Here is a 25,859-nt window from a genome sequence, read left to right as displayed (position 1 = left end):
ACTTAAAAAGAGCAGAATAAATGATACTTTTGCTGTTGATATTAAAGAGAATATTGTTGGGAATATCAGGGCATAAGCCAGCCTTCTCAAACTCTCAGTGTAGGTCAGAGGCAGGCTCTCTTCCTCTTGGTGATTCAGGAAGGTGCATATTGGGCTGGAAGAGCAGAGTTCACTTCACATCTGTGCTTGGTGCTATGGTCAGACCACTATTTTGGTTATCTAAAGCTGCAAAACTAAATGATGGCTTAAAACAACGTTTATTCTTCTATTCATTATTCTGAAATTTGAACAGGAGTTAGCAGGATCAGCTCATCTCTCTCAATGTAGCATTGGCTAGTATGACCCATGAGGGGAGGCTCAATAGGTGCTGGAGGATATTATTCCAAGATGGCAGGCAAGGCAAGTTGATGTTGGCCGTTGGTGGAGAACTCAGCTGAGGCTCTCAGCGAGGGCCTCAAATCTCCCGCTTATGGTTAATTTGTGCTTCTCACAGCACGGAGTCTAGGTTTTAAGAGTGTTTGTTCCTAAAACAAGCTTTCCAAGAAGACAAACATCTCTTTACATCATATTTGCTAATATCCCATTGGCCAAAGCCAGTCCCATGGGCAAGTCCAGATCCATTGGATGGGGTGTGGGAGGGGATGACACCAGTCATGGGTGCTGGCATGCATGGTTTATTAGTGGCCACCAAAGTAAGGTTTACTACAGTGAAAATTCTCCAGCCACCAGCTTCTAGTCTTTATTGTAATAGATGCTTATAAATTATTCTTTGAATCAATGCACACATGATCTTTAAATAGCCCGGGATGGTGCCAAGCAACCTTTGCTAATGTGCTTCTTCCCTCACCCTCTGCTTTCCAAAATATAAACATTTTAGATTAGTGTGCAGAGTCCAGGTCTAGGTAGATCAATGATTTAGGTCTAACATGTACAGTTTTCTTGAGCATGAACGGAACCATCGAAAAATGTCCTCAAATCAGCTCACCTCCTCCTGTTCCCCCTGCATAAACAACTGTTTTTTAAAAAATTTCATTGACAAAGAATGAATTCTCTGAAACCTGCAGCAGAATCGGTATGTTACCAATAGGTGCACATTACCTGAATAAGTGAATAAAAGGCTTTATTTGCAGGCAAAAAACCAAAAATTAAATTCATTTAGTGATTGAAATAACTTGCTCTTTTATAGCTTGTAACATTAAATAGCCTGCCTCTTTCTCTTCTGTTTTAAAAAGAGCTTATTTTAGTTGTTGTCTTTTCCATATCCCTTGTTGTATGTCTGCAGTTTCCAAATTGATACAGGGCCTGCTAGTAAGATCTCAAAAGTAGGCTTGCATTGCTTTTGAGAAAGACAATTTTCAATTAATTATAAATGATTTAATTTAAAAACTCAGAAACCTACTGTGTATCCTGAAACTAGTACTTATCTTCTCTAATTGCATGAAGTGGAATGCAGAAATAAATTTGATTGAATATGTAATTGGCATGCTTGTGTTGAGGTTACTGTTTTAGCCTATTTTGGCTTCCCAGAGAATGAAAACTGAAATCTCCACCCCCCAACTCAAAATTTTTGAATTCTTTGACAACAAATGATTTAGGATTGGAAACAAGTGAGGCACCCCCAGCTGGCCTGAAGGGAGGGCAGAACGGAGCAGCTCTCCCTTGGGGCCTTCTCCAGACGTCTTGGTGTGGATCAAGTGTTTGCAAATGTTCCATGTTGCTGATTTGTCTTAGAGACACAGGCATGAAAACAACCACAACATTCTCATACAACGTAATTTTATCGCTCTCTCTCTTTTCCTCCTTTTTTCCGCAGCTGAACCTCCTTCTTTGTCCTGGACTTGCCTCAATGCCTACCCCCCGCCCCAGAACAGTGTTCTAATTGATTGAATTAGGATTTACTGAGCCCTTACTGTGTGCCTGGCACTGGACCACACTATTTACAATCAGTGTCTTTGAACTCTAAGATGTGGATGTCATTATTCTTCTCTTACAAATGAGGAAATCGAGGTGTAGAAAGGTTAAATGATCTGTCTAAAGTCACACAGCTTGGTCCTGAGCTTAATTCTGAAGTGCATTTTCTTAATCATTTCTTTATCACCTTTCATGGAAGTTAAAAGAAAGTTACCAGGACACGTGAGACTAAATTCCCTTGTGCAGGTAACTTCTCTAAGGAAGGACATGCTGTGGAGGCAATAGGGCAGGGTTTTGAGGCATGACTTTGGGGTCAGCAGATGCCAGATCCACCTTTGGCTATCTGTGTGACTTTAGGTCATTTATTTTATTTCATGGAGCCTCAGTTTTCTCGTGTGTAAAATGAGAATAATAATACCAGCCTCAGAGGAGCACAGTGTAGCAGTTAAACCTGTGACCTATCTGGCAATAAAAAGTAATGAAGTACTAAAACATGTTACAACACGGGTGAACCTTGAAAACATTATGCTAAGTGAAAGAAGCCAGTCATAAAAGACCACATATTATATGACCCCATTTAGAGAAAATGTCCAGAAGAGGCAAATCTGGAGAGACAGAAAGTAGATTAGTGGTTGCCAAGGTCTAACGAAGGAGTATGGGAGAGATCAGTAATGCGTGGAGGGTTTGTTTTGGGGGTGATGAAAATACTCTAAAATTCATCATGGTGATGTCTGCACAACTCTGAATATACTAAAAAATCACTGAATTGTATGCTTTAAAAGAATAAATTATACCATATATGAATTATATCTCAATAAAGCTGTTATTGGCAGGGTGCGGTGGCTCACGCCTGTAATCTCAGCACTTTGAGAGGCCAAGGTGGGCGGATCACGAGGTCAGGAGATCGAGACCATCCTGGCCAACATGGTGAAACTCCGTCTCTACTAAAATACAAAAAATTAGCTGAGCCTGGTGGGACATGCCTGTAGTCCCAGCTACTCAGGAGGCTGAGGTAGGGGAATCGCTTGAATCCGGGAGGTGGAGGTTGCAGTGAGCCGAGATGGCACCACTGCACTCCAGCCTGGCGACAGAGCAAGACTCCATCTCTAAATAAATAAATAAATAAATAAATAAATAAATAAATAAATAAAAATAAAGCTGTTATTTAAAAATAAATAAAGGCATGATCTAGGAGATAGAAATCTAGGTTCATACTGGACCTCCCCCAGTCAGGACTCCTGTGATGGTGACACCATTAAATAACTCTGTGCCTCAACTTCCTCACCAGCAAGACTGGGGTCATAGTAAATACTCCATGGAGTTGTTGAAAGAGTTTAATGCATTAAAGTATGTAAGTACATAAAGAGCATGGAACCGTGCTTGCTACCTGGAAGCTCTTAATAAGTGTCCTTACTTTTTTTATTGTGTTATTGTGAGGATTGACTGAAAAATGCTTAATAAGTGGCAGATACTTATAATAGCAACTGGGTTGTTAGGGCTTTGCTATTTAATTAAATTAATTAATTTATTTATTTATTGAGACAGAGTTTCACTCTTGTCACTCAGTGCAATGGTGCCCATCACCATGCCCGGCTAACTGTTTGTATTTTTAGTAGAGACAGGGTTTGAGGTCAGGAGTTTGAGACCAACCTGGCTTCGCTATTTTGAAAGAATCAACTGAATTTTAGAAATTCCATGGTGGGACTGCTTTTTAAAAGTCAGGCATCACAGACCTAAAAAGCACCCTGCTTGTCCTGCCTAGTAGGCTCTCATTTTGGGTTCTAGACCTTCTCTTTTGGATCTGTGCCCTTGAGCACGTCATTTAGACAGAAGTCCAGCGACATGTTGCCATTATCATTGGGAAAGTCCCAGAGTGACTTCCTCCTCTCGCCAGACTTTGTGTAGGGCAGGACCGCCCACTCTTAGGAGGGACAGGAGGCTGCTCCCCCTGCTCCTGAGCCTTTCTCAGGAAAGAGATGTGGGGGCCTGCCTCCCCGCTTTTCAATATCCGAATTCCTCAGTGTTGACATGCACACACTTGCAATCTGTTCTTTTTTCTGGCTTAGCTTCAGGAAAACTTGAAGCCAACATTGTGCCCAAGAATGATAATCAACTCGGTTTAGGCTACGAGGAGCATTCATCCCTTCTGTTTCCTTCCAATGAACTGTGCTGTTTTATTCTTAAATGGTCAGCATTGTTTTCTTGAAGCCTATCAGGAGCAGACGGTGATAGAAACGTTAACTTAATGAAAACACAAACAAACTTAGACATCTCAACTATTTAATACCTGGAAGTCAAAATGATGTAAGGGGAACTTTTTTTTTTTTTTAAATTCCTAATGTGAAAGCCATCCAAAAGCTACACAGATTACTCAAAACCAAAGAAAGTTTAAGAGTGAAGAAAGAAAACAAGGATTAGATTTGTTTTTCCACTGTGTTCATGAAACTTCTGGGATACTTGAACACTGAACCAAGAGAGGAAACATCCTGGCTACCTGAGAGTAAAATGATGGGGAACCACTGAGAGGCCAGGCCTTTGGCCACCTCATCACTTACCTTGTCATTTACCGAGGAAAGTTGAGTGCCACATGCAGGCTTGACAGAGCTGCATTTACTGGCTGATATCTGGAGATATCAGCAATAGCTGGCTTTTTTTTTTTTTTTTTTTTTTAAGAGGCGAGTTCGTGTGAAAGTCTCCATTCCTCACATGGCTGCTATGAATCATCATTGGAGCGGGGTCCATCATGGAATGCCAAGAGTCTGATCCAGGCTGATGTGTTGCCTTGGCCAAAAAATCTGGGAAAGCAGCATTGTGATAAAGTTGCTTGTTATTTGACTGCCTTTCTTTTAAAATAGAAACTTCTGTTACTCACAGGAAGGTGCCAGTGGCTGTTTGCCTCTCCTTTTTTTTCTGTGCAAAAGTGCTTGATTTTTAAGCAGCCTATTTTTATCATCCTTTCCCACCATCACTAGGACTTTCATATTGCTGTTTTGGGGCTTTGGATAAATGTCTTCTGAACTTGAACATTAGTAATATGGGCCATGAGGCTGAGGGCAAAGGGATGGGCCACGTAGTTTGCTTGGCTTTTATTCTATTTGGAAACTGGAGAAGAAAGTCACATTTATGGTAAAAATTAGAGTAGCTGAATGTAGAACAACTGCGAGAACCAGATTTCTCCCTGAAAATGCATTCATTTCAAATACGTGCATTAAATGTCTATTAAGGGCCAGGTGCTGTGCTACGGGCATGGGAAATGAAAAATAGTAAGACATGGTCTCTGAGCTCCAGTGAAGGGCTAATGGGGATGTGGTAAAGGAGACAGGCTTGTAACAATAATGACAATGAAGTATTATGGTTTCTTTGCTGGAATTATGTACGGGATATGGTTGGGGTGCAAAGGAAAAGGTGATTATTTCTCCCTGTGGGGTGTTAGAGAAGTCTTCATATTGGAAGTGGCACTTCTGAGTTTCAAGGGGAATTAGTGTTCACCCCAAGGACAGGGTATGAAGAGCATGCCAGGCTGAAGCAGCAACCTGAGAATCATTTTTGCTCCAATGATTCATCCCAATTCAACTTCAGGAAATGTATGTAATGCAACAATAATTCTCCCCAGTAAACAACAGCAAGGACAGTGCTTATACTCTTGACACATCATTGGGTGAGAACCAAAGGGAGCTACTTTGGATTATAAAAGGCAACAAGACAGGTCTGTGGCACTGTTGACATTTTGGACTGGATAACTCAGTTGCGGGAGACTGTCTTGTACAGTGTAAGATGTTTAACAGCATCCCTGGCCTCTACCCACTAGATGCCAGTAGCACCTGACCCCACCAGTTGTGACAACCAAAAACATCTCCAGATATTGCTGAATATCCCCCAAAGGGCAAAATCATTGCCACTTAGGAAACACTAGGCTAGAAAGACAGGTAGTACAATTCTGGAGCTGAGAAATGGTAAGATTAGCTGGCAGAACTTCACAAATATTAGACACTTGCAAGCCCACATGGAGTTGCTTGGGAGAATTGTTGACCATAATTATATAAATAACTCCCTGGAGTTACTCACCCGGAGACTTGCCACTCACCTGGAGAGCAATGTGGAGGTGCTCATGTGAGAAGCGGCTTGATGATACATCAACATCTGTGATTCTGAACATCTGATTTTCCATTTGGAGCTTTTCATTGAAACCATTACTGTTTCCCTCAGTCTATGGAGTCTTAATTCATAGAGCAGGTCTCTCCCAATTTGCAGCCAAACAGCTTTGCATTCATTTCCATACCAGCTTCTCTGAAAGATGCCAGTCTTTCTTTGTGAGGTGACCCCAGAGTCTCACCAAATAAATTTCACTTTTAAGTTATACATCACAAACATACTCATCAAACATGTATAGATTCATGTGATCATGATTTGGTAAGATACAGAGAGAAGTTCCATTTTACTAAATGAATATGTTAAGGTCTTTTTGAAGCATTGAGCTAGTGATCCTTTTTGAGAGCTAGACCATTGTGAAGGGCACACATATGGGAGCTACATTGTCCCTGTTATCCAAAAGCCCAGTCTAGAATTCTTGGTGATGTTAAACAAGTTACTTAACTTCTCTGTGTGTCAATTTCTTCCTTGTTGTAAAGCAGACAGGGATGAGATAATAAAATGAGATAATATAAATACACAACTTCTTACAGTGACATGAGTATTGAAAGCAGGTCATCCAAGTGAACCACACAATACCTGGCCTTCAGTAAGTACGTTACACATGTTAACTGCAATTTATTATCATCAATATTTTAAATGCTGTAATAAGCACATGGCCAGATGTTCTCAGAGCACAGAGGTGGGATGTTTAGTTGAGAATGGACAATGGGAGTTAGGCAAGGCTCCAGGTAGCAGGAGAGATCCAACCTGGAGGATGAATTAGATAAGGGAATCCAGGCAGGAAAAGGAGAACAAGGATGGGTTTTCAGCCTTGCTGTTCCCTCTGCTGAAACAACCTGTCTCAGATATCTGCAAGACTCACTGCCTCTCTCCAGGAGGATTTTGCTCAAATGTATTCTTTTTAATTGAGGGCTCCCTTCACATCCCATTTAAAATTGAACTTCTTGTTCTATCGCACTGTATCTTCTTTCTCCTTGGCACATGTCACTATCTGACATTCTTCTTATTGATTTCGTATATTGTCTGTCTCACCATGTGAGAAGGGAGGCTCCCTGAGGGCAGAATTTTTATCATGTTTGTTCCCAGCTATATAACTACCATCTAGAACAGTATCTGGCATAGATTTGGAGTTCAGTATAATATTTGTTGAATAAGTGAGTTCCAGGCATGTCAGCAGAAGCATGGAGGTGAAAGAGAGCATCTGTATAGGATCATGAAAGTAAATTGATGTGACTTAAGTGTACAGTGTATGCTTGGAAGAAATGAGAGATTAGACTGGAGAACTAAGCAGGGATTTGGTTATAGATGGCCTTCTTTGATCTTGGCCTTTATCCAAGGAACCACCAGAAGGTTTTCAGGGACTGGTCATATTTTCATTCTAGAAAGTTTATACTAGCATCAGTATTAAGGATGTAAAGAAGAGGGGGCCGGGAACAGTGGCTTATGCCTGTAATCTCAGCACTTTGGGAGGCCAAGGTGGGCTGATCACCTGAGGTAAGGAGTTTGAGACCAGCCTGGCCAACGCGGTGAAATCCCGTCTCTACTAAAAATACAAGAATTAGCTGGGAGTGATGGCACACGCCTGTATTCCCAGCTACTCAGAAGGCCAAGACAGGAGAACCACTTGAACCCAGGAGGCAGAGGTTGCAATTAGTGAAGATCACATCACTGCACTCCAGCCTGGGCGACAGAGCGAGAGAGAATCTGTCTCAAAAAAGAAAGAGACCAGACTAAGGACAGAGACATCAGTCACTTGACTCTTGTTTGCCAAGGGAAAAAGGATGAGGGAGGGCCTGAACTGGACATAGAGGATGTGGATGAGGAAACATCTTTGAAGTAAAGAGGCTGAAGTGGCAACATGTGATGATCAATTGGATGATAAAGGGAAATGGAGAGTGAGAAATCCAAGATTATATCGATATTTTGAACTTGGGCATTTAGGCAGCCAAAAAAGCAGCATTAGTCCAAGGCTTAGTCCACCTAATGCTCTGGCCTGAGACTGAGTCTGGAGTGAGGCTTGCAGAGAGCATACCGCTGAAACTTCCAGGAGCCCTGAGGCTGCAGCAGTGCTCTGCACAGCAGCGTGGGCAGCCTCCTGCTGAGACGTTTCCCATTGCTTTCCTTTTTGCTTATTTGCCCTGTGGCTCTGTCTTTATCTTGGTTTGAATTAATTTCAGAAATGGCCACTGAGCCTGAGATTTGAGTGAAAATAGTTTATTAGGGAGATGATCCCAGAAAACACTGGTTAGAGGAATAGGAACATCACGCGGGGAAGGGAAAGAAGTGAAGAAAGAGTGAGTTACTGAGTAGGTTACTACGTGAGCAACTGGGGCTCATTTCCACTGGGACCTCTGGGAGATCAAGTACAAATTGGTTCTCAAAATATGGTTGTAGGGCCAGCAGCATCAGCATCACCTGCAGACATGTTAGAAATGCAAGTTCATCTGACCTGCTGAATCAGAAGGGGTGCATAAAACTATCTTAACAAATGCTCCAGGTGATTCTTACACCTATTAAAATTTGAGGACGACTGTCATAGTAGATTCCCTGAGTGTTAGCACCATGAACAGCAAAAAGTTGGGTGTATTTTTCTACCATCTCCCGTTTTGAGAGGGGTCATTAAACATAAAAGGAAAGAGTAAAGAAGAAATGGATGGTTATACTGTAACCTTGAGTGAATTGACTTGGCACATTTAGCTAAATAACAATTCTGTGCCTTGAAATGCTTTCTATGAGTACACCCAAATTTGGCTTACAAGTGAGCTAATATTTTCCAAGCACTGTAGGAAAAACTGAAATTGGTCTTATTCTGTTTTTTTTTTTTTTTCCCCCTTGATGGGGGCTCTATGGCACCAGCTGTCACATATTCTTCTCACACTTGATACCTCTTTTCCTTGTGCTGGACCCATAGTGAGCTGGGCATCATGTATAAAAATCACAGAGAAAAGGAAAGAGAAAAAAAAGAACAGGAAGGGGTACATGCTGAAGTGCATATTCATGAAGCACTAAGTAAGTGGCAAAGACCCACTGGCTCTTGAATTGAAGTTTTTAGTAACCTTGGCTAGATTTCTGAACAATCTCAGAAAACCTCATAGACTCAGAGGCTGTTGCCTAAATGTCAACCTAGGGACTGATGTGGGGAGGATGGTATTTGGCATTTGGCTCTTCCTTTTGTAATCTACTCAGTTCATTTCCATAAAGTGTCTGAATGGTAGGATTTGATAGCTACCCTCTGGCTTCTCACATGGAGATTTCACTTGGTTAACAGGGCTAACAGAGCTAGTGAGAATACAAACACTACAAATTCGCGGATGGCACTCTTGGGGGAGAAAACTTAATACCTAGAAGTAAATAACACACATCAAAAAGAGTATTCCTCTACTATCACTTAACAAGGCTTCTTATATCCCATAGTGTTGTACCTTTGAGGATGAAATTTGGGATTGGGAGAGGGGAGGAGATGCCAACTACTGGGGTGGCCTGGAAAAAATCATAGAAAACATTCCTGACACCTTCATCCTATCATCTTAATGGAAAGTAAGTCTGCCCATTATTCTTTGTGTACTCAAAGACAAGTCCTTCCCAGTGACAGTTAACAGTAGCTAATTATAGCCATAACCATGTCTCATTCTCTTAATCTCTTTCTTTTCCCCTTTCATTTTTTTCTTCTCCCTAGGGGATCACCTCACACTCAGGGCTTTAAATATCATCTATGTATGTTGACAAATTTGAAATTTATATTTTCATCTCAGTCATCTCGTGAGAGACAGAGAGAGAGAGAGAGTGTGTTTGTGTGTGTGTGTGTGTGTGTGTGCGTGCTATAGACTCGAATATCCAACTGGACTGCTAGCAGCTTCTGTATATATCTCCTAAATCTCAACTTGTCTAGAAGGGAGTTCCTGATCCTCCTCCAGGTTCCTGAATGCGCTCTTTCTGCAGAATTTCCCATCTCAAAAAAAGGACACCTCCATACATGCAGTTGCTCAAGACAGAAACTCGGAAATTATCCTTGTCAGTTTCCTTTCCCTTGTCCTCTGCAACTCTTCAATTACTTAGAGCTGTGTGTTCTAACTCCAAACTGTATCCTGAATCTATCCTTGTTTCTCCATCCATCGCTCCTGTAAAAGGCCCAGCAGAGGCCTCTGAACTGCTCTCTTAGCAAACCATTCAGTATGTGGCAGCTATGGTGAACTTTTGAAAACACAGAACTGATCATGTCTCTTCCCTGCTTAATATTCTTCAATGATTTCCTATTGCTTTTAAGATCAAATTCAAAAGACCTGAAACACCCTCTGTGATATAGCTCATAGAACTATATGTCATTGAGCAGACAATTTTAACCCATGGGATTAGGGAAGGTCTTCTTCGGAAAAGTTTCCCATGCTGAAACAAGAAGCAGAGAAGAAAGAAGAACCATTTCTGCCTTGGAGCCCAAATGTCTAAAGAAGCAAGAGGTTACCTTGACAAGGCTCAGTGAATGACAATTAACCAATTAGCTTTGCTACTCCCTCTGTCCTGGGAAGAGAGTAAACCAGTAGCTGATTGAACAAGGGGATAAGCATGCATTGTTATATGCCCACCTTACTGGAAGAAAACAAGCTCCTCTGCTTGTTTTCTTGTATTTCGTGAGGAGAAATAAGGTTTCTCTTTTGTGGCCAGGAGATTGAATGCCATCACATGACTTCTTACCACCTATGAAGAGGATGCTAAGAATTTTTTCTTTAATCTATTAATATGGTGACTTCCCATTGCACTTTCTATCCTCATTCTTTATATCCTTTATATTATTTGAGTATTATGATCCCTTTATAGATCAGTGTCTCTAGTAGCTTTTGAGCTTTGGAGGAAGGATCACGATTTTTTATTGTTGTTGCCATTAGATGTAGGCAGAATATGGCACACTTTAAATACTCAATAATATTTGTTAAATTAATACATGTGAAAAAAAGAGTGGTCAGGATTTGAAGGTGATGAGATATATTTGCAGCATTCCAGCTTTCAGGAGGCTCCCATCCTTTGCTGGTAACCGTGTAGCTCTCATACTGCTCTGAAGCACTAAAGTTAACCCATGTTCATTACACTCTAATTCCCTAAATAATCCATTAGTATATATTTCAATACCTTTTTTTTCCCCTAAATAATCAAAGAGACACAACAGGCAATCATGATTCTAACATGCAAGGTCGACATCGATTTGCAGGACCATTTGAAGACTACAAAAATTTCAGGGGCTTGTTGTGTTATTTAGAAATAATGAACCAAAATGACTAACCTCCTCATGTGTGCCTGAATGACAGCATGCTTTTTATTTCTTAACCAAGGTTTTCTGTGTGAGAGTGTAGGGAGGCACTTTGAAATTAGAATAACTGGTACCCTGCTTTTATTGAGGAACCAGAAATAATGAGATTATAGAAACAGCATGAACTTGACACTGCATGGTTTATTTAGCCCACGAATTTTTTGTGACTTAACAAGACAAAGGGTTTAAACTCCACTGATGTTTTTTTCTCTCTCTAATGATGAATTTACCAAAACACAAAGATGTGTGACACAACTGCTCATGTTTTAAACTAAGAACTATGTTTTTTCTCTTTGCTATATGGTTAGTAGAATGAGTCAGTTCCCAAGACATGACCAGTTTCAAAGTGGAGTGAAAATGGAGAGGTTTTCTTCATGATACTTCTCAAAGTCACCAGGAGACTATTAAAAGATTTGAGATGAAGTAACACAGTAGTAAGATTCCTAATAGAGGAGGTTTAGTTGTTAAGAGAGTCACATACATACTTTGTTTTGTTTTGTTTTGTTTTTTGCTTTTCTGAGATGGAGTTTTGCTCTCGTTGCCCAGGCTGGAGTGCAGTAGCGTGATCTCAGCTCATCACTGCAACCTCCACCTTCTGGTTTCAAGCGATTCTCCTGCCTCAGCTTCCCAAGTAGCTGGGATTACAGGCGCTGCCACCACGCCTGGCTAATTTTTGTATTTTTAGTAAAGACGGGGTTTCATCATATTGGCCAGGCTGGTCTCGAACTCCTGACCTCGCGATTCACCTGCCTCGGCCTCCCAAAGTGCTGGGATTACAGGCATGAGCCACTGCACCCGGCCACATACATAAGTTTTAAAAGTAGAGACCTGTTGCATGAGAGAAAGAAACATTAAGTTACTTTAAAAGAGGTTCTTAGACATAGGCACTTTTTGAAGATTGTTATTTTAGTGTAATTCTTTAGAAATTAATGAAACAGGATTGGGAAGACATTGTGATGCTGAGCCGTATGAGCCTGTCATCTGTACTTTTGTGAATAGGATGAAGGAGGGAGGTCTCAGGTGAGTGTAAAAGAGATTCAGGATGCCTGGGCTTATCTATGAAGTGGTAGAGACAATAGCCTTTAGCCTTCTATTTATCTGAGGTGCTTTACATCAGATTAAGAGGACTTCTTCTAAGAAGAGAATGATGTGCCTCCTTTTGTGAGAGGGAAGAGGGTTGAAGAACATGAGGAGAACATCAGAGTATCTGAACACAAACCAACAAATTCATACTGATGTCTGATGGAAAGGGGTCTGGTAGAGGTTGAAGAACCCATTTCTACCAGTGAGACCTGAGGAGAAAGTCCTGTTTGGGAAAAATATGGGACAATATATGACAGAGATTTTGAAAAAGAGATACCTTCCTACTTCTGAAGGACACTGCTTTGGCATTGTAAAGATTTGTTTACAGATCACAAGTAATTTACGCTTGACATTGACATCAGTATTGACATGGCCCTGGACCAGTTGTTTAAGTTGGAGGAAGGAGGAGTTCAAGAGATACCTGATATTCTTAGAACTCTGTGACAAATAAATGGCCTATAGTCAAAACTACATCGCTGGATCAAGACCATATGGACCCACGCCCACACTAAGCATGTCACCACGATCACACTCTTCTCCATAAAAACTTGCAGTATGTCTCATGAAATTTCAGTGCTCAGGATGAAAACTACCACAACCTATGCAATTTAGGATGGCTATTGCTAGTAATTTAGAATGGCTATTGCTAGTAATTTAGGATGGGTATTGGGAAAGCCCTAATCAGTTAAATGCAACAACAACTGTCCTTCATTGATAAAGAATACTTCACAATATTGAAAAGGACCTCAGAATTCTTCAGCGCTACTTCTCCTTTACCATCCTCCCTCAACAGGAGGATATTTATGTGAATATCAAACTGGAAGGATAGTTAATGGGCCACAATGCTGTCCACACAGTTTCTTTCTTGGAATTCTTTTTCCTCGAATACGCAGTATTCTTGAGAGGGATAACCTGTCACTCACCATATACAAGAATCAACTCAAGATAGATTAAAAACTTAATCGTAAGACCTGAAACTATAAAAATACTAGGAGAAAACCTAGAGAAAATTCTTCTGGACATTAGTCTAGGCAAAGAATTCAGTGACAAAGACCTCAAAAGCAAATGCCACAAAATCAAATATAGACAAATGGGACTTAATTGAACTAAAAAGCTTCTGGACAGCAAAAGAAATAATCCTCAGAGTGAATGGATAACCTAGAGAATGGGCAAAGATATTTCCAAACTATGCATCTGATAGGGGTCCATGTCCAGAATTTACAAAGAACTCAAGCAACTCAACAAAAAATTCCCAAATAATCCCATTAAAAAGTGGGAAAGAATATGAATAGACACTTTTTAAAAGAAGACATACAAATGGCCAACAAGCATATGAAAAAATGCTCAACATCACTAATCATCAGATAAATGCAAATTAAAACCACAATGGGATATCATCTTACAGCAGTCAGAATGGTTATTATTGAAAAGACAAAGAATAACAGACGTTGGGGAGGATGAGGAGAAAAGGGAACACTTACACACTGTTGTTGGCAATGTAAATTAGCACAACCTCTATGGAAACAGTATGGAGATTTCTCAAATAACCAAAAATAGAATTACCATTCTATCCTGCAATCTCACTACTAGGTGTATATCCAAATGAAGAGAAATCATTATGTCAAAAAGATACCTACAGTTGTCATACGTTTACTACAGCACTATTCACAATAGCAAAGATATGGAATCAATCTAAGTGTCCATCAGTGGATGATTGGATGTGGTATATATACACAATAGAATACTATTTGGACATAGAAAATGAAATCATGTCTTTTGCAGAAACATGGAGGGAACTGGAGGCCATTATCTTAAGTAAAACAATTGAGAAACAGAAAGACAAGTACCACATAGTCTTACTTATAAGTGGGAGCTATATAATGTGTACAAATGGACATAGAGTGTGGAATGATAGACATTGGAGACTCAGAAGGGTTGGGGGGTGAGTAGAGGGTGGATGATAAAAAATTACTTAATGGGTTACAATGTACATTATTTGGGTGATGGATATACTAAAAACTAAGACTTCACCACTACACAATATATCCATGTAATAAAATTGCATTTGTGCTCCTTACACATATACAAATAATAATAAAGATAATATATACAAACTGGTACTTAGGGAAATGGGTTATTTAATGAGGAAGAAAAAAGGCAGGAAGAAAAGATCATATGATGGATCACAAACTTCACTACCATTACAAGTTATTGTGGGGCTAGCTTTGCTCAAAGCCATTGCCTGTTTTCAATGGGCTACATCCATCTTTGGCATTCCCATCTTAAAATGCAATTTTGCCTTCTCTAACCTTATGAATTCAGAGCAAAAGTATTCCTGAAAAGCTTGAAACCAATATATTACAACACAGTGTGGATTTCACAACATGATCAATTCTGGTTTTGCGCTCGTCATAATACAGGATCTTTCATCCAAGCATGACAAGGTGCTTCATACTCAGTCTATATTCTTCTCCACCTTTGGCAATTAATGGAGAAAAAGGTAGAAAGATGGCTGGCTGGCTTGAAAACAGAAGCAGAGCCAGAAATAGAACCTAGAAGTCTAACTTCTTTTTTTCACACTCTTTCTAAAATTATAGGACCATTTCATTCCTCCTCCTCCTTGTTCCATTGCTCTTCCCACTTGTGACTGTTGTTCACACCAGTGCTTCACGGAAATGACTTCCCTGGAAGTAAAAAAGATAGAATTGTGAAAGCAAAGTCCTGAATTTTCAACCGCCTATATTCTTGGAATGCCAGAGTAGGATATTTCTCATCATTTAGAGAGATGTTCAGAAATCATTATAAAAGTGTTAGGAAGTTTGTTCTCACATATAAGTCAGATATTATCAGACTTTGTTTCTTTATGATAAAACCTGGTGTTATGACCTGTTAAATGGAAGTAAAATTATATCCTTGGTGAGTTTTATGAGGATTAAATGAGATAATTTATATAAAATACTTAGCTATCTTTAATTTTATGGATATAGATGGATATAGATGAAAGGAAAAAGGGCACCATGTTACAACCTTCAATTTAATACAACTTAAATAATTTTAGTTTCATAAATACTTCCCGTGTACCTTTTTGTGTGAAGAAGTGCCCTGTCCTCCTTGGAAGAGGAGATGATACATGAGTTACATCAAGTTTTCATTCTATGTGGGTGATTATGGGAATCACCGTGGATGAAAACAGTATACCAACAGAGTTAATGTCATCCTTGTTGAACTTTTCTTTAACATAGTGGCCCAGAGAACGTATTCTAGAACTGAAGTTGCCTTGGATCTAACTCTGGCTCCGGGCCTTTCTGAGTGTGTGGTCCTGGGCAAGTTTCTTAATCTCTCTGTGTTGCAATATCTTCATAATAGTACCTATTTCATTGAGTTGTGGTAGGGATTTAAAAAGTTCAACTCATGTAAGATTTGAAGAATTCAGCTTGGCTTGGTGATAAGTCCTCATTTACTCTTAACTCATATCCTTATTTGTTTTAGTTTGTCCAGACAGGATGTACTGCAGGCTTGGCTGGACATTCATCATGGCCTCAGAGGAGGAAGTGCCTTGGAGGGTCACCGTATTCTAGAATCTAGTCTTCCAGTTCAAACTCACTGTCTTGTAAATGCCCTGAAACTTATAAATCTGAAGGCTAATATTTTAATATTAATTTGCCACAATAAATATAGTTTATCTTAGTGGTTAAAAGCAGGAACTCCAGAGATGTGTTCTAACCTTGCTTTGGCTCAAATACAATTAGTTCCCTGTTCTTCAGCGAGTTACTTATCCCAGCTATACTTCTGTTTCCTCTCCTGTAAGATTACAGTACTCTGATTCTACCACCGTTTAAGGAATGTGATAAGGATTACATAATATAATTAATATAAAACATTTAGTACAACAGGCAGAGATTATTAGGGCATGACAATTTCTATGCTCTCTTTTCTGAGTACTCAGAAAGTATTTCTCAATTTCTCTTGCAGTCAGATGCGACCATGTGAATCACTTCCCACCATTGGAATGTGAATACGCATTTTATGTCCATTCAAACTGGCCCAGCAAACCTTCTATGTGCAATTCTTTCTCTCTTTATTAATCTATCAATTGAAATAAGAGATCTCTGAGGACCTGGGGGACGATGGTGTCAAGGATAAGAGAGGCCTAGGTTCCTCGTTGAATGTGTGGATTAGGGCTTCCTCATCCATTCCCACCCAAGACTCATGCATGACCGTAAGTGAGGGAAAACACTAAACTTTTATTGGGTTAAACCACTGAGATTCAGGGTTTTTGAAACAGCACTTTCGGCCTATCCTGAGTAATATAGCTCAGTAAGTGACTGCTCAGAATAACTAACAAATGTTACTTAATAACCATGATGAGCAGCCAGACCTTGGTGCTCAGGGTCATATTCGTTCCTCATATGTGGCTTCCCATGGGAAATTAAACAAGGCCTCTCTACATTTCCCAGGACATTTCTGAGTAAAGGGATCAGAGCAAAGGGAGGTAGTTCTAACCCAAAGTGATTGTAGCTAGGCAAGAATGATACAGAAAACTCCACTTATCCCTCAACAGTCAACTTTTTCTATTAACCAGAATACTTCTGCTTCCTGATCCAAAGTCAAGACAGGGCTGGTAAATGCTGATACACTGTTTCCCTTTAGGATGGCCTGCCCGTCATCCCCGGGCATGCCCATCATCCCCGCCATGCTTGCACATCCTTTCCTTCCAACGAGAGTCAATGCAGTTGATGAAGTGTCAGCTCTGGCCAAATTACCAAAAATCAATTTGTTTTTCTCTGATAAGTTAGCTCATGTTAATGTGCCAAGCTGATGCTGTGTGTATGCAGTTTTAGGTAGACTAGTATCATCTGTGCTTCCTCGAGGCTATTCCCTAAGTATTTTGATTAAAATTTGAGCATTTCCCCAAACTCTAACAACTGATTGGTCAACATTGATAAATGGCTCATATTTCAGGGATAGATTTTAGCAGTTTTATCTTCAGAGACTAACCTCATTTTGAAGTTCTTAAAGTCACCTCACTTTTGCTACACTATTGTCTTACTGTTTTGAATTCTATTTATGTTTTGCACCTTCCCAAGCATTCACTGACGTCACTTCACATTATTGGACATTCTGTTACATCTCAGCATTCCCAGGTGTCTGCCAGCTTCTAAGCTCATGTGAGGTTGGTACTTTCAGAAGCTTGAACATCTCCATGTGGTAGCTGGCATAATTTATTGGCCCAACATAGTGGAAACAATGAATTCCTAGAGATATACCATCTGGACTGCACCATCAGATGAGTTAGAGAGAGCTCTCTAAAAGGGGAAACAGATAAACTTATGCCCTTCCATTACTATAATTCTGTAAACTCAACAATTATATATTGAACATCTAGTAGGCTCCAAGAAGTAAAAGTCTAATTATGAGTTGGTCATAGTTTTATGCTGGGGGAGCATGTTGCCAGTGGGGAGAAATCAGCTATATTATTATTACATGACTTTTTTTTTTTTTTTGAGACAGGGTCTCACTCTGTGGCCCAGGCTGGAGAGCAGTGGCATGATCATGGCTCAGTGCAGCCTCGACCTCCATGGCTCAAGCAGTTCTTCTGCCTTGGTCTCCCAAGTAGCTGGGACTACAGATGCATGCTACCACACCTGGCTAATTTTTGCGTGTTTTGTAGAGATGGGATTTCACCATGTTGCTCAGGCTGGTCTTGAACTCCTGGGCTCAAGCGATCTGCCCTCCTTGGCCTCCCAAAGTGTTGGGATTAAAGGCATGAGCCACTGCATGCAGCGTGACTATTGCTTTAATGAATAACTTGTTTTTGTTTGTTTAAGGAATGTTTAAATAATACATAACTTTTGTTTTGTACCTTTTAACTGAGGCCTAATTCACAAACAGTGAAGTAAACAGATCTTAGGCATAGGATTCAATAAACTCTTACATCTATGCACACTTATGGGATTATCATGCAGATCAAGACATAGAACATTTCCAGTGCCCCAGAAGGCTTGTTCATGACTCTTACTACCAACACACACCACCTGGAAGGACATCTCTAGCACTATGGTTTAGTTTTGTGATTTTGAATTTCATAGACATGGATTCATACAGCATGAAGCTGATTGTGTCTAGTTTCTTTTGTCTAATACTCTCCGTGAGATTCATCCATCCTGCTCTTGGTATTTCTAGTTAGGGGATATGATGACAGAGCTGCTGTGAAATAAGCACACCTTTTGGAGGGGTGTATACACAGGATTGGAACTGACGAGTTATAGAGACATATATGTTTGCTTTAATAGATACTAATAAACAGTGTTAAAAGGGTATTAATTTGTGGTTCCTCTAGCAGTGTCCGCAGATTCTGGTTGTTCTTTATCTTCACCCAAACTTAATTTTGTTAGTTTTTAAAATTTTAGTTATCCTTATGTAGGTGTGGTAGTATTAGGTTGGTGCAAAAGTAATTGCAGTTTTTGCCATTACTTTGCATTTTCTTGACGACTAATACATTTATTTGTTAATTTACATTTGTGTATTCTCTTATGTGAATTACCTTTTAATGTTTTTACTTTTGAAAAAAATTGGATTATTTGTTTTTCTTTTTATTAATTTGTAGTAATTCTTTACATATTTACATGTTCTGGCTAAGAGCATTTTGTAGGATATATTTATTGCATTATCCTTACAATTTCTATAGAAATTGCAAAAATGGCTCTGCTTTTTTTCCCTTGATATTATGTCTTCTATCTTTTTTTTCTTCATCAGTGTTGTTTGGGGTTTAACAAGTTGTTAATATTTTTAAAACATGTGTTTTTTTGCCTTTGTTGATTTTTTAATTGCTTTTCTGTTTTCTAGCTCACTGATACCTACTTTTATTATTATTTCCTTTTTTCTACTTACTTTAGATTTAATTTTACTTCTTAGTGTCTTAAAAATGAAAGTTTAGAACATTAATTTTAAATCTTTTTTTCTAATATATGCATTGTTTTTGCTTTATATCGCAAGTTTTGACATATAGTATTCTCATTGCCATTCAGTTTAAATAATTTTTAATTTTTCTCATGACTTTTCTTTAACCCTTAGATGATGACTGCAGATTTGTTTACTTCTCCTTTTATTTCTGTCAACTTTGCTTTATATATACATTTAAATATTGAAATGCATGTTAAGCATGTATTTTTAATAATAATTTATTCATTTGTTCAAGCATTTTTCATTTGTAAAACATGAAATGAGAAGAATGCAAAACATAAAGCTATGTCTATGTCATTTCATCATTTTATATGAGGTAACTTGTCCAATGCCTGTCTGTTTCAAGGAACTCATAGTCTGGTAAGGAAAATACATGCATAAATAGGAAGAAGTGTTTATTTTGTTTGAAAAAAAATGTTTTGGTGATTAGATCGGGTCACTCATATGTCAAAAATATCCCATAGATTTCCGCTGGAGTGAAGAAAAAAACCTTTTATGTGTTCTGCCACTATCTGTCTCTGTCTTCATATTTTACGGCTACTTTCTCACTTTTTTTTTTCCAGAACACACAAAAGCTTGTTGCTGCCTCAGAGTTTTTGCCCTTATAGTTCTTTCAGTTTATAACCCTTGTCTCAAGTTCATGGCATGGCTGATTTTTCACCTCTCCAACTCTCAGTTCAAATATCACCTCTAAGGTCAGGCCATGCCTGGCCACTCTACCTTAATTAGTCACCATCCACCTCACAGGTTACTTTCACATCATCACAGTTGGAAAGGACTGTGTTTATTCATTTGCTTTGTGTTCCTTCTACTAGGATGTAACCTTCATAACAATAGACATCTTGTTTTTCTTCATCTCTGTGTCCTAATTAGCTCACAGATAGGGGATACTCAAGAAATAATTATTAAATACATGAGGGATTTTGGTATGATTTGAGTCCCCACCCCTTTTCCTATACTCTACTCTCATCTCTTGCTGTTCCTTCCTTCCAAGGCCTGGATGTTAGTTGGTACCAGAATTTGGGGGGAAATTGCTCTGTATACATTGTGTGAAGAAATTGAGGAATTATATTGCTTATAAGAGGAGTGCAGAGAGGGGTAAGGGTAGGAGCAAACAAGATGGTAGAAAGTGGAGTGCTAGACTACTTGACTCCTTTTGCTGCCCTCCCTTCCAAATTACGAGGCGCATGAAAAACTGACATTGATGTATAATAGAAATTAAAGGTGTTAAATTTTATTCCCAAGTGGTGTAGTGATAGACAAAAGCAATAATAGAGGAAGCTGGAGCTTGAGAGATAGAACAGAGGAGGAGATGTAAAACCCTTGGGAATTAGCAGAAATATTGAGGGAGCATTTCCTGAAGCCATGAAAGGAGAAAGTTCAAGGCAATGTTGCTTAGCTCTCATGGGGTAGGCAGACAACTAAAGTCTTTGATACATACAGAATTGTGCCACATAGGCAATAATAGAGACAATGTGGAGGGAATGACTAAGACTGTCCACTGAACAAGGGAAAGGGGCTTCTTGTAAAGTCTTTGTATACTGTACATGAAAATTAAGATATATCTTGCACAATCATTCAATGTTTTCCAGGTAGATAAAGTGATTGGGGTAAAGTGCATTTCGGAAGAATGGTGGCACGAATTTGCCTTCATTAAAATAAATTCATTAAATGAAACTTTAATGGTGCCCACTAAATCCCAGACTCTGTACCAATTAGGTAATTGAATGGGTCTTATATTGGAATGGGATTAGAGTTGACAGCATAGGCTTGAGTCAGATCGACTTGAGTTCAAATCCCAGCTCCACTACTTCTGAGTTGTGCAAACTTGGGCAAGTTATTCAATCTCCTTGTGCCTTGATTTCCTTATCAATAAGTGATTTGTTTTTAAAGAAGGATTCACAAGCAAACATATCTGGTTTTTTTGTTTGTTTGTTTTTGAGACAGAGTCTCGCTCTGTTGTCCAGGCTGGAGTGCAGTGATGCGATCTTGACTCACTGCAACCTCCGCCTCCCAGGAGTTCAAGCGATCCTCCTGCCTCAGTCTTCCGAGTAGCTGGGACTACAGGCATGTGCCACCACACCCAGCTACTATTTTTGTATTTTTTTGTAGAGATGGTTTCGCCATGTTGGCCAGGCTGGTCTTGAACCCTTGACCTCAGGTGATCCACCAGCCTCGGCCTCACAAAGTGCTGGGATTACAGGTATGAGCCACCACGCCCAGCCTGCAAACATATGTTGAACTCTTTGCACAGTGCCCTGCATGAGATAGATGACAGCTCCTTCTTCCATGTTGTTAATTTGGTGTGAGTATATGTTATATGTATGTATATGCAAGATAATAATCTTCTTGTAACCACTGACAGGCCTTTTTGTGAATGATGATGGAAAAAGCAAGAACCTTGTCCAGGTTCCTCTCCAGGGAGCAGGGGTGGGTTGTGATTCTTGATTTCATTCCTTTAGATATGAAGAGTTTTCACACAGAGGCAGCACGAATTTGTCTCTCTCCTAGAGGGTGGGGAGAGTTGCTGGGTGGATATAACTGCATCACAGCCTTTCTGGGTAAACTGGCCACTCCCTACTGATTTGTTATCATGCTAAATGTGTCTCCTCCCTTCCTTTCTGGAGCTTTTGCAGCTGTTCCTGGAAGGAGACCCAGTTGAAAGGGGTTGTTATGGACCAGGAACAGCTGGGATCTTTAATGATCTGTGAGCAGCTTACAGCAAAGTTCCAACACCCTGAGGTAATGATGGGGGTGGGGGATGTCTCAGAGGAAGAACTGATTATGCAATAAGCTGAAAGTCCCTTTGAAATCTGGTGACACAGTTATTGAGAGGCCAGCAGGATGGAGAAGGACGTGGGGAAGGCTGATGAGAGGAGAAGTTCCTCTCTAGGGATCATTTGGGGCAAACAAATGAGATCCAAGGGGAGTTCCAATATAGGAAATAGGAGAGAAATCCTAGGGCCCAGGAAATTACAGACTCATAATTAGCTGGTCAAAGCAATCAATAGTCATGTAGATTGTCATTTGCTTGCAAATTGCACACCTGGGGTCCCTTAGAAAAACTTGGCTTCAAGACTTAAGTTGCTGCTTCTGAAAGTAATGAACAATACTCTCTGTTCTGTTACTCATTACAGTATCAGTCCCCAAATCCTTGGTCTTTGCATTCCAACACAAAGTAAAAAGGATTGAGCAGGTTAGTATTGAAGAGCTTGGAAGCAGTGGCATTTCCAATGACCCCATTTGTTCAGTTTTCATGAAGACTAATGAGGTAAGAAGGGGTTAGTTATTTTTGGATTTTTTCCCCATAATTAGAGATTACTGTCTTGTGTTTTTCAGGGTTTTGGTTTTGGTTGCAAGTAACAGAAACCCAACGCTAATTAATAAACGGGAAAGTGTGTCAGTGGAAATGTAAGTAAGAAGAGATTTCATTTACTGGCCAATTCAAAAGATGACAAGCTTTAGGCGTGGCTCAGTCCAGTGGCTCATGATGTCTTCAGGACTCAGTGTTTCTCTGTTGTCATCTCTTAGTTCTATTATTTTTTCTGTGTTGGTTCATTATGAGGTTTCCTTTAGAGGGTGGCAGAGAAAGCCACTAGTTGCTTCAAGTCTTTATTTTACCAGCTCCACAAGTCCGACGGAAAGAGAAAACTGCTTTCCCAAAGGGTGTAAGAGGATGAAAGGCATGTCATCAGCTGAATTGCATCAGGTGTCCATCTTGGAATCAATCACGGTGCCTCTTATTAGCAAAGCCTGAGTCATAGGTGAGTCTATACTTGGATGGGGTAGTAAGGAAATCCCATGTTGATTGCATGGATGGAAAGTGGGGGTGTTGTGGTTTCATAATGGCTTATTAGGGTTCAATAATCAGAACACCAAATAATCCATGCTGGGAGGTAAAAATTGCAGATATTTTACTTTATGCCCCAAACTAGACTTCAAATCTGTGCTGCTCTTCCAATCATGAATCCGCAGAACAGAGGATAGAAAGTTCAGGTCAATTCAAATTTGACAAACACTTTCCGAGCACTTACTATGTGCCAATATCCGTGGGAGGCCCTGGGAAACCAAAGATGAATGAAACACAAACTCTGATGTCAGAGACCTCACAGTCTGGTGTTTAAGACGATAATAGTCTGGATTAGATTCTGGTGTGATGAGATGGATTGTCTCATAAAAAACAGAGGGAAGGGATTATTTAACTCTGATGGGTGGCTGGGTGCTGAGAAGACCCTCAGAGGGTGTAACCTTTGAGTCTTAAGGAGGATTAAGTTTAAAGGGGATTTTGTTGGAGGATAAGCATCAAGGAAAGCATTCCAGGAAGAGAGACGGGCATATGCAAAGGTATAGTGTTGTGACCTCTGATTAAATATGGATGAGACAGGACAGGGAAAAACACACTTGTTAGATTGTGGCAAATGCCCATGTGAAGTGATTAAGTGACTGAAATTGGGCAGAGGTGGTGTGCTGGTAGATTCTAAGGTGACCCCAGTGATCCATGCCTTGTAAAATCTTCTCCCCTGTGAGTGCTCCTTGGTGAGCAGGTGATGTTATATTGGGAGATTGACTATAAGAAGGGGAGACTATCTGTGTGGTCCTGGCCTAATGACATGAATCCTTTAAGAGCAGAGCTTTCTCCAGCTGGTAGAAAAAGGGGAAGTATGAGACTTAAAGGTGGAGGTGGCCCCATGGAAAAGACCTAAGGGTAGCCTGCGGGAACTGAGAGAAAACCCCAACTGGCAGCCAGCAAGAAAACAGGGACCTTAATCTTACGACCACAAGGAACTGGACTCTGCTACCAGAATGAGCTGCAAGGGAGATTCTTCCTCAGAAGCTTCAGATAAGAACTCCACCTGGCTGACCTTTGATTTTGGTTTTGTGAGAACTTTGGCAGATAACCCAGGTGAGTCTTCACAGTCTGAGTTAACAAGTTGGTATTGTTTTAGGTTGCAAAATTCGTGGTCATGTGTTACTCATCAGTAGAAAATGAATACAGGTGAGAACAATGAAGACATCATCATTAGATGACTCCTATTAGAGTCCAAGACCCTCAAAGAGGTGTAAGCTCTTCTGGGTTGGGTGTGTCTGTATATTATCTATCAATTTATAGTCAGCACCTATCACTCTGCCTGGTACATAGAAGACAGAAAATAGTATTGGTTGAATGAATGGTTGTGTGAATGATCAATTCTCACCACTACCACAGGAAGGCTTCACTTTGCACATCCTCCAGATGCTAATGAAGGTATGGCCTCCCTTTCTTAGAGTTGACAGTAAGACCCTGCCTACAAAGCTGAATTCCCAAGACAACTCAGTTCACCAGGAACACAGCGGCCAATGGTTTATTCCCTCAGTCAACAAATTATTTTGGAATACCAATCACACACACAGAGCTATGCTAGCTTTCTACAGGTAGAACTCAGAGGCAAACAAAACAAAAATCTGCCTTGTATCCTCAAGGTAGCAGACTTATTGGGAGTCAAACTCATCCAACAGGATATAATTAGAGACTGTGTTACGGAACAAAAAGTTAAGGAATTTGTAATGAGAGGACATAAGTTTGAGACCTGGCTCTGCCACTTACTAGCCATGTAACCTTAAGCTATTACATAATACTCTTTGAATCTCAGTTTTCTCTCCTCTTAGAGCACAATAGTTCTATTTATCTCTCCTTGCTTTTGGGAAAGTTATCCACAATAATGCTTGAAAAAGGTTATTTGCAAACTGTAAAGTTGTAAGTCCACATTATTAATAAATGAGATCATGGGAGTGTTAAATATATCCTAGGAAGTGCTAGAGAGAAAAGCAGAAGAAGACACTGACCTCACGAATGCTCAGGCAGGCCAAAGTACTTTAGGAAGTCTTCCACACAAATTCTGGCTTGGGTTGAGATTTCAGAGAAGCTCTGGTGTGGCTTGGTAGGAGGAGGCAAGGGTCTGGAAAGGGGTAGGTGGCTCTAGAGCTCTATTATATCTAGAATTTATTCTTGAAACTCTCAGTGTACAATCTTGAGAAGCTTTTCTCTTATTGGGAGAAAAACTGCATTCACCAAGTGCTGGCAAATTTGGCAAACAGAGACTTTTAGACACTTGTATTGTTCAAGGAACCCATCTTTTCAGCGGCTAGAGGAATCCAGTGCCTTCTGAAGATTTTGGAGAATAACTGATCTCAACTAGAAAAAACAAATGACTTGATTAGAGTAACTACCAAGTGCTTTTTTGACAGGCTGATGGAGCCAATTAATAAGCTCAGCATGAATTTCTTTCCTGTCAGAAAGGAATGCCTAGAAGCAGAATTCTCTTGTGTGGCATCACCAGGGACTTGCTCCAGTTACCTCAGACCCTAGGTTTGAATTAGTCAGAAGGTAAATCAGCTTCCCCAATCCTGGGATGCCCACTCTCTTTCTGCCTACTAAACTATCAATTACACTTTGGCAGTGCAGGAAGGGGTG

General features: G+C 40.0%; 1 long non-coding RNA gene across 7 annotated transcripts in view; it reads left to right on the top strand.

Moving 5' to 3' along the window:
- Positions 1 to 3,509: 3,509 nt before the first annotated feature.
- LOC105375721 (uncharacterized) overlaps positions 3,510 to 25,859 on the top strand; it is a 121,243-nt gene continuing 98,893 nt past the window's right edge. For 2 of the 7 annotated variants that reach the window (XR_007061069.1, XR_001746048.2), the window contains exons 1-3: positions 21,570 to 22,150; positions 22,546 to 22,604; positions 22,748 to 24,311. This is a non-coding gene — a long non-coding RNA (uncharacterized LOC105375721). Of the gene's footprint in view, positions 22,151 to 22,545; positions 24,312 to 25,859 lie in introns of all 7 variants that reach the window. The other 5 variants (XR_007061071.1, XR_001746050.1, XR_001746049.1 and 2 more) reach the window with 5 other exon arrangements.

The sequence above is a fragment of the Homo sapiens genome, chromosome 8 (genome assembly GCF_000001405.40).
Source record: "Homo sapiens chromosome 8, GRCh38.p14 Primary Assembly".
Lineage (NCBI taxonomy): Eukaryota > Metazoa > Chordata > Mammalia > Primates > Hominidae > Homo > Homo sapiens.
Note: the sequence above shows the minus strand (reverse complement) of the source record. Positions and strands in the feature narration are given on the sequence as shown.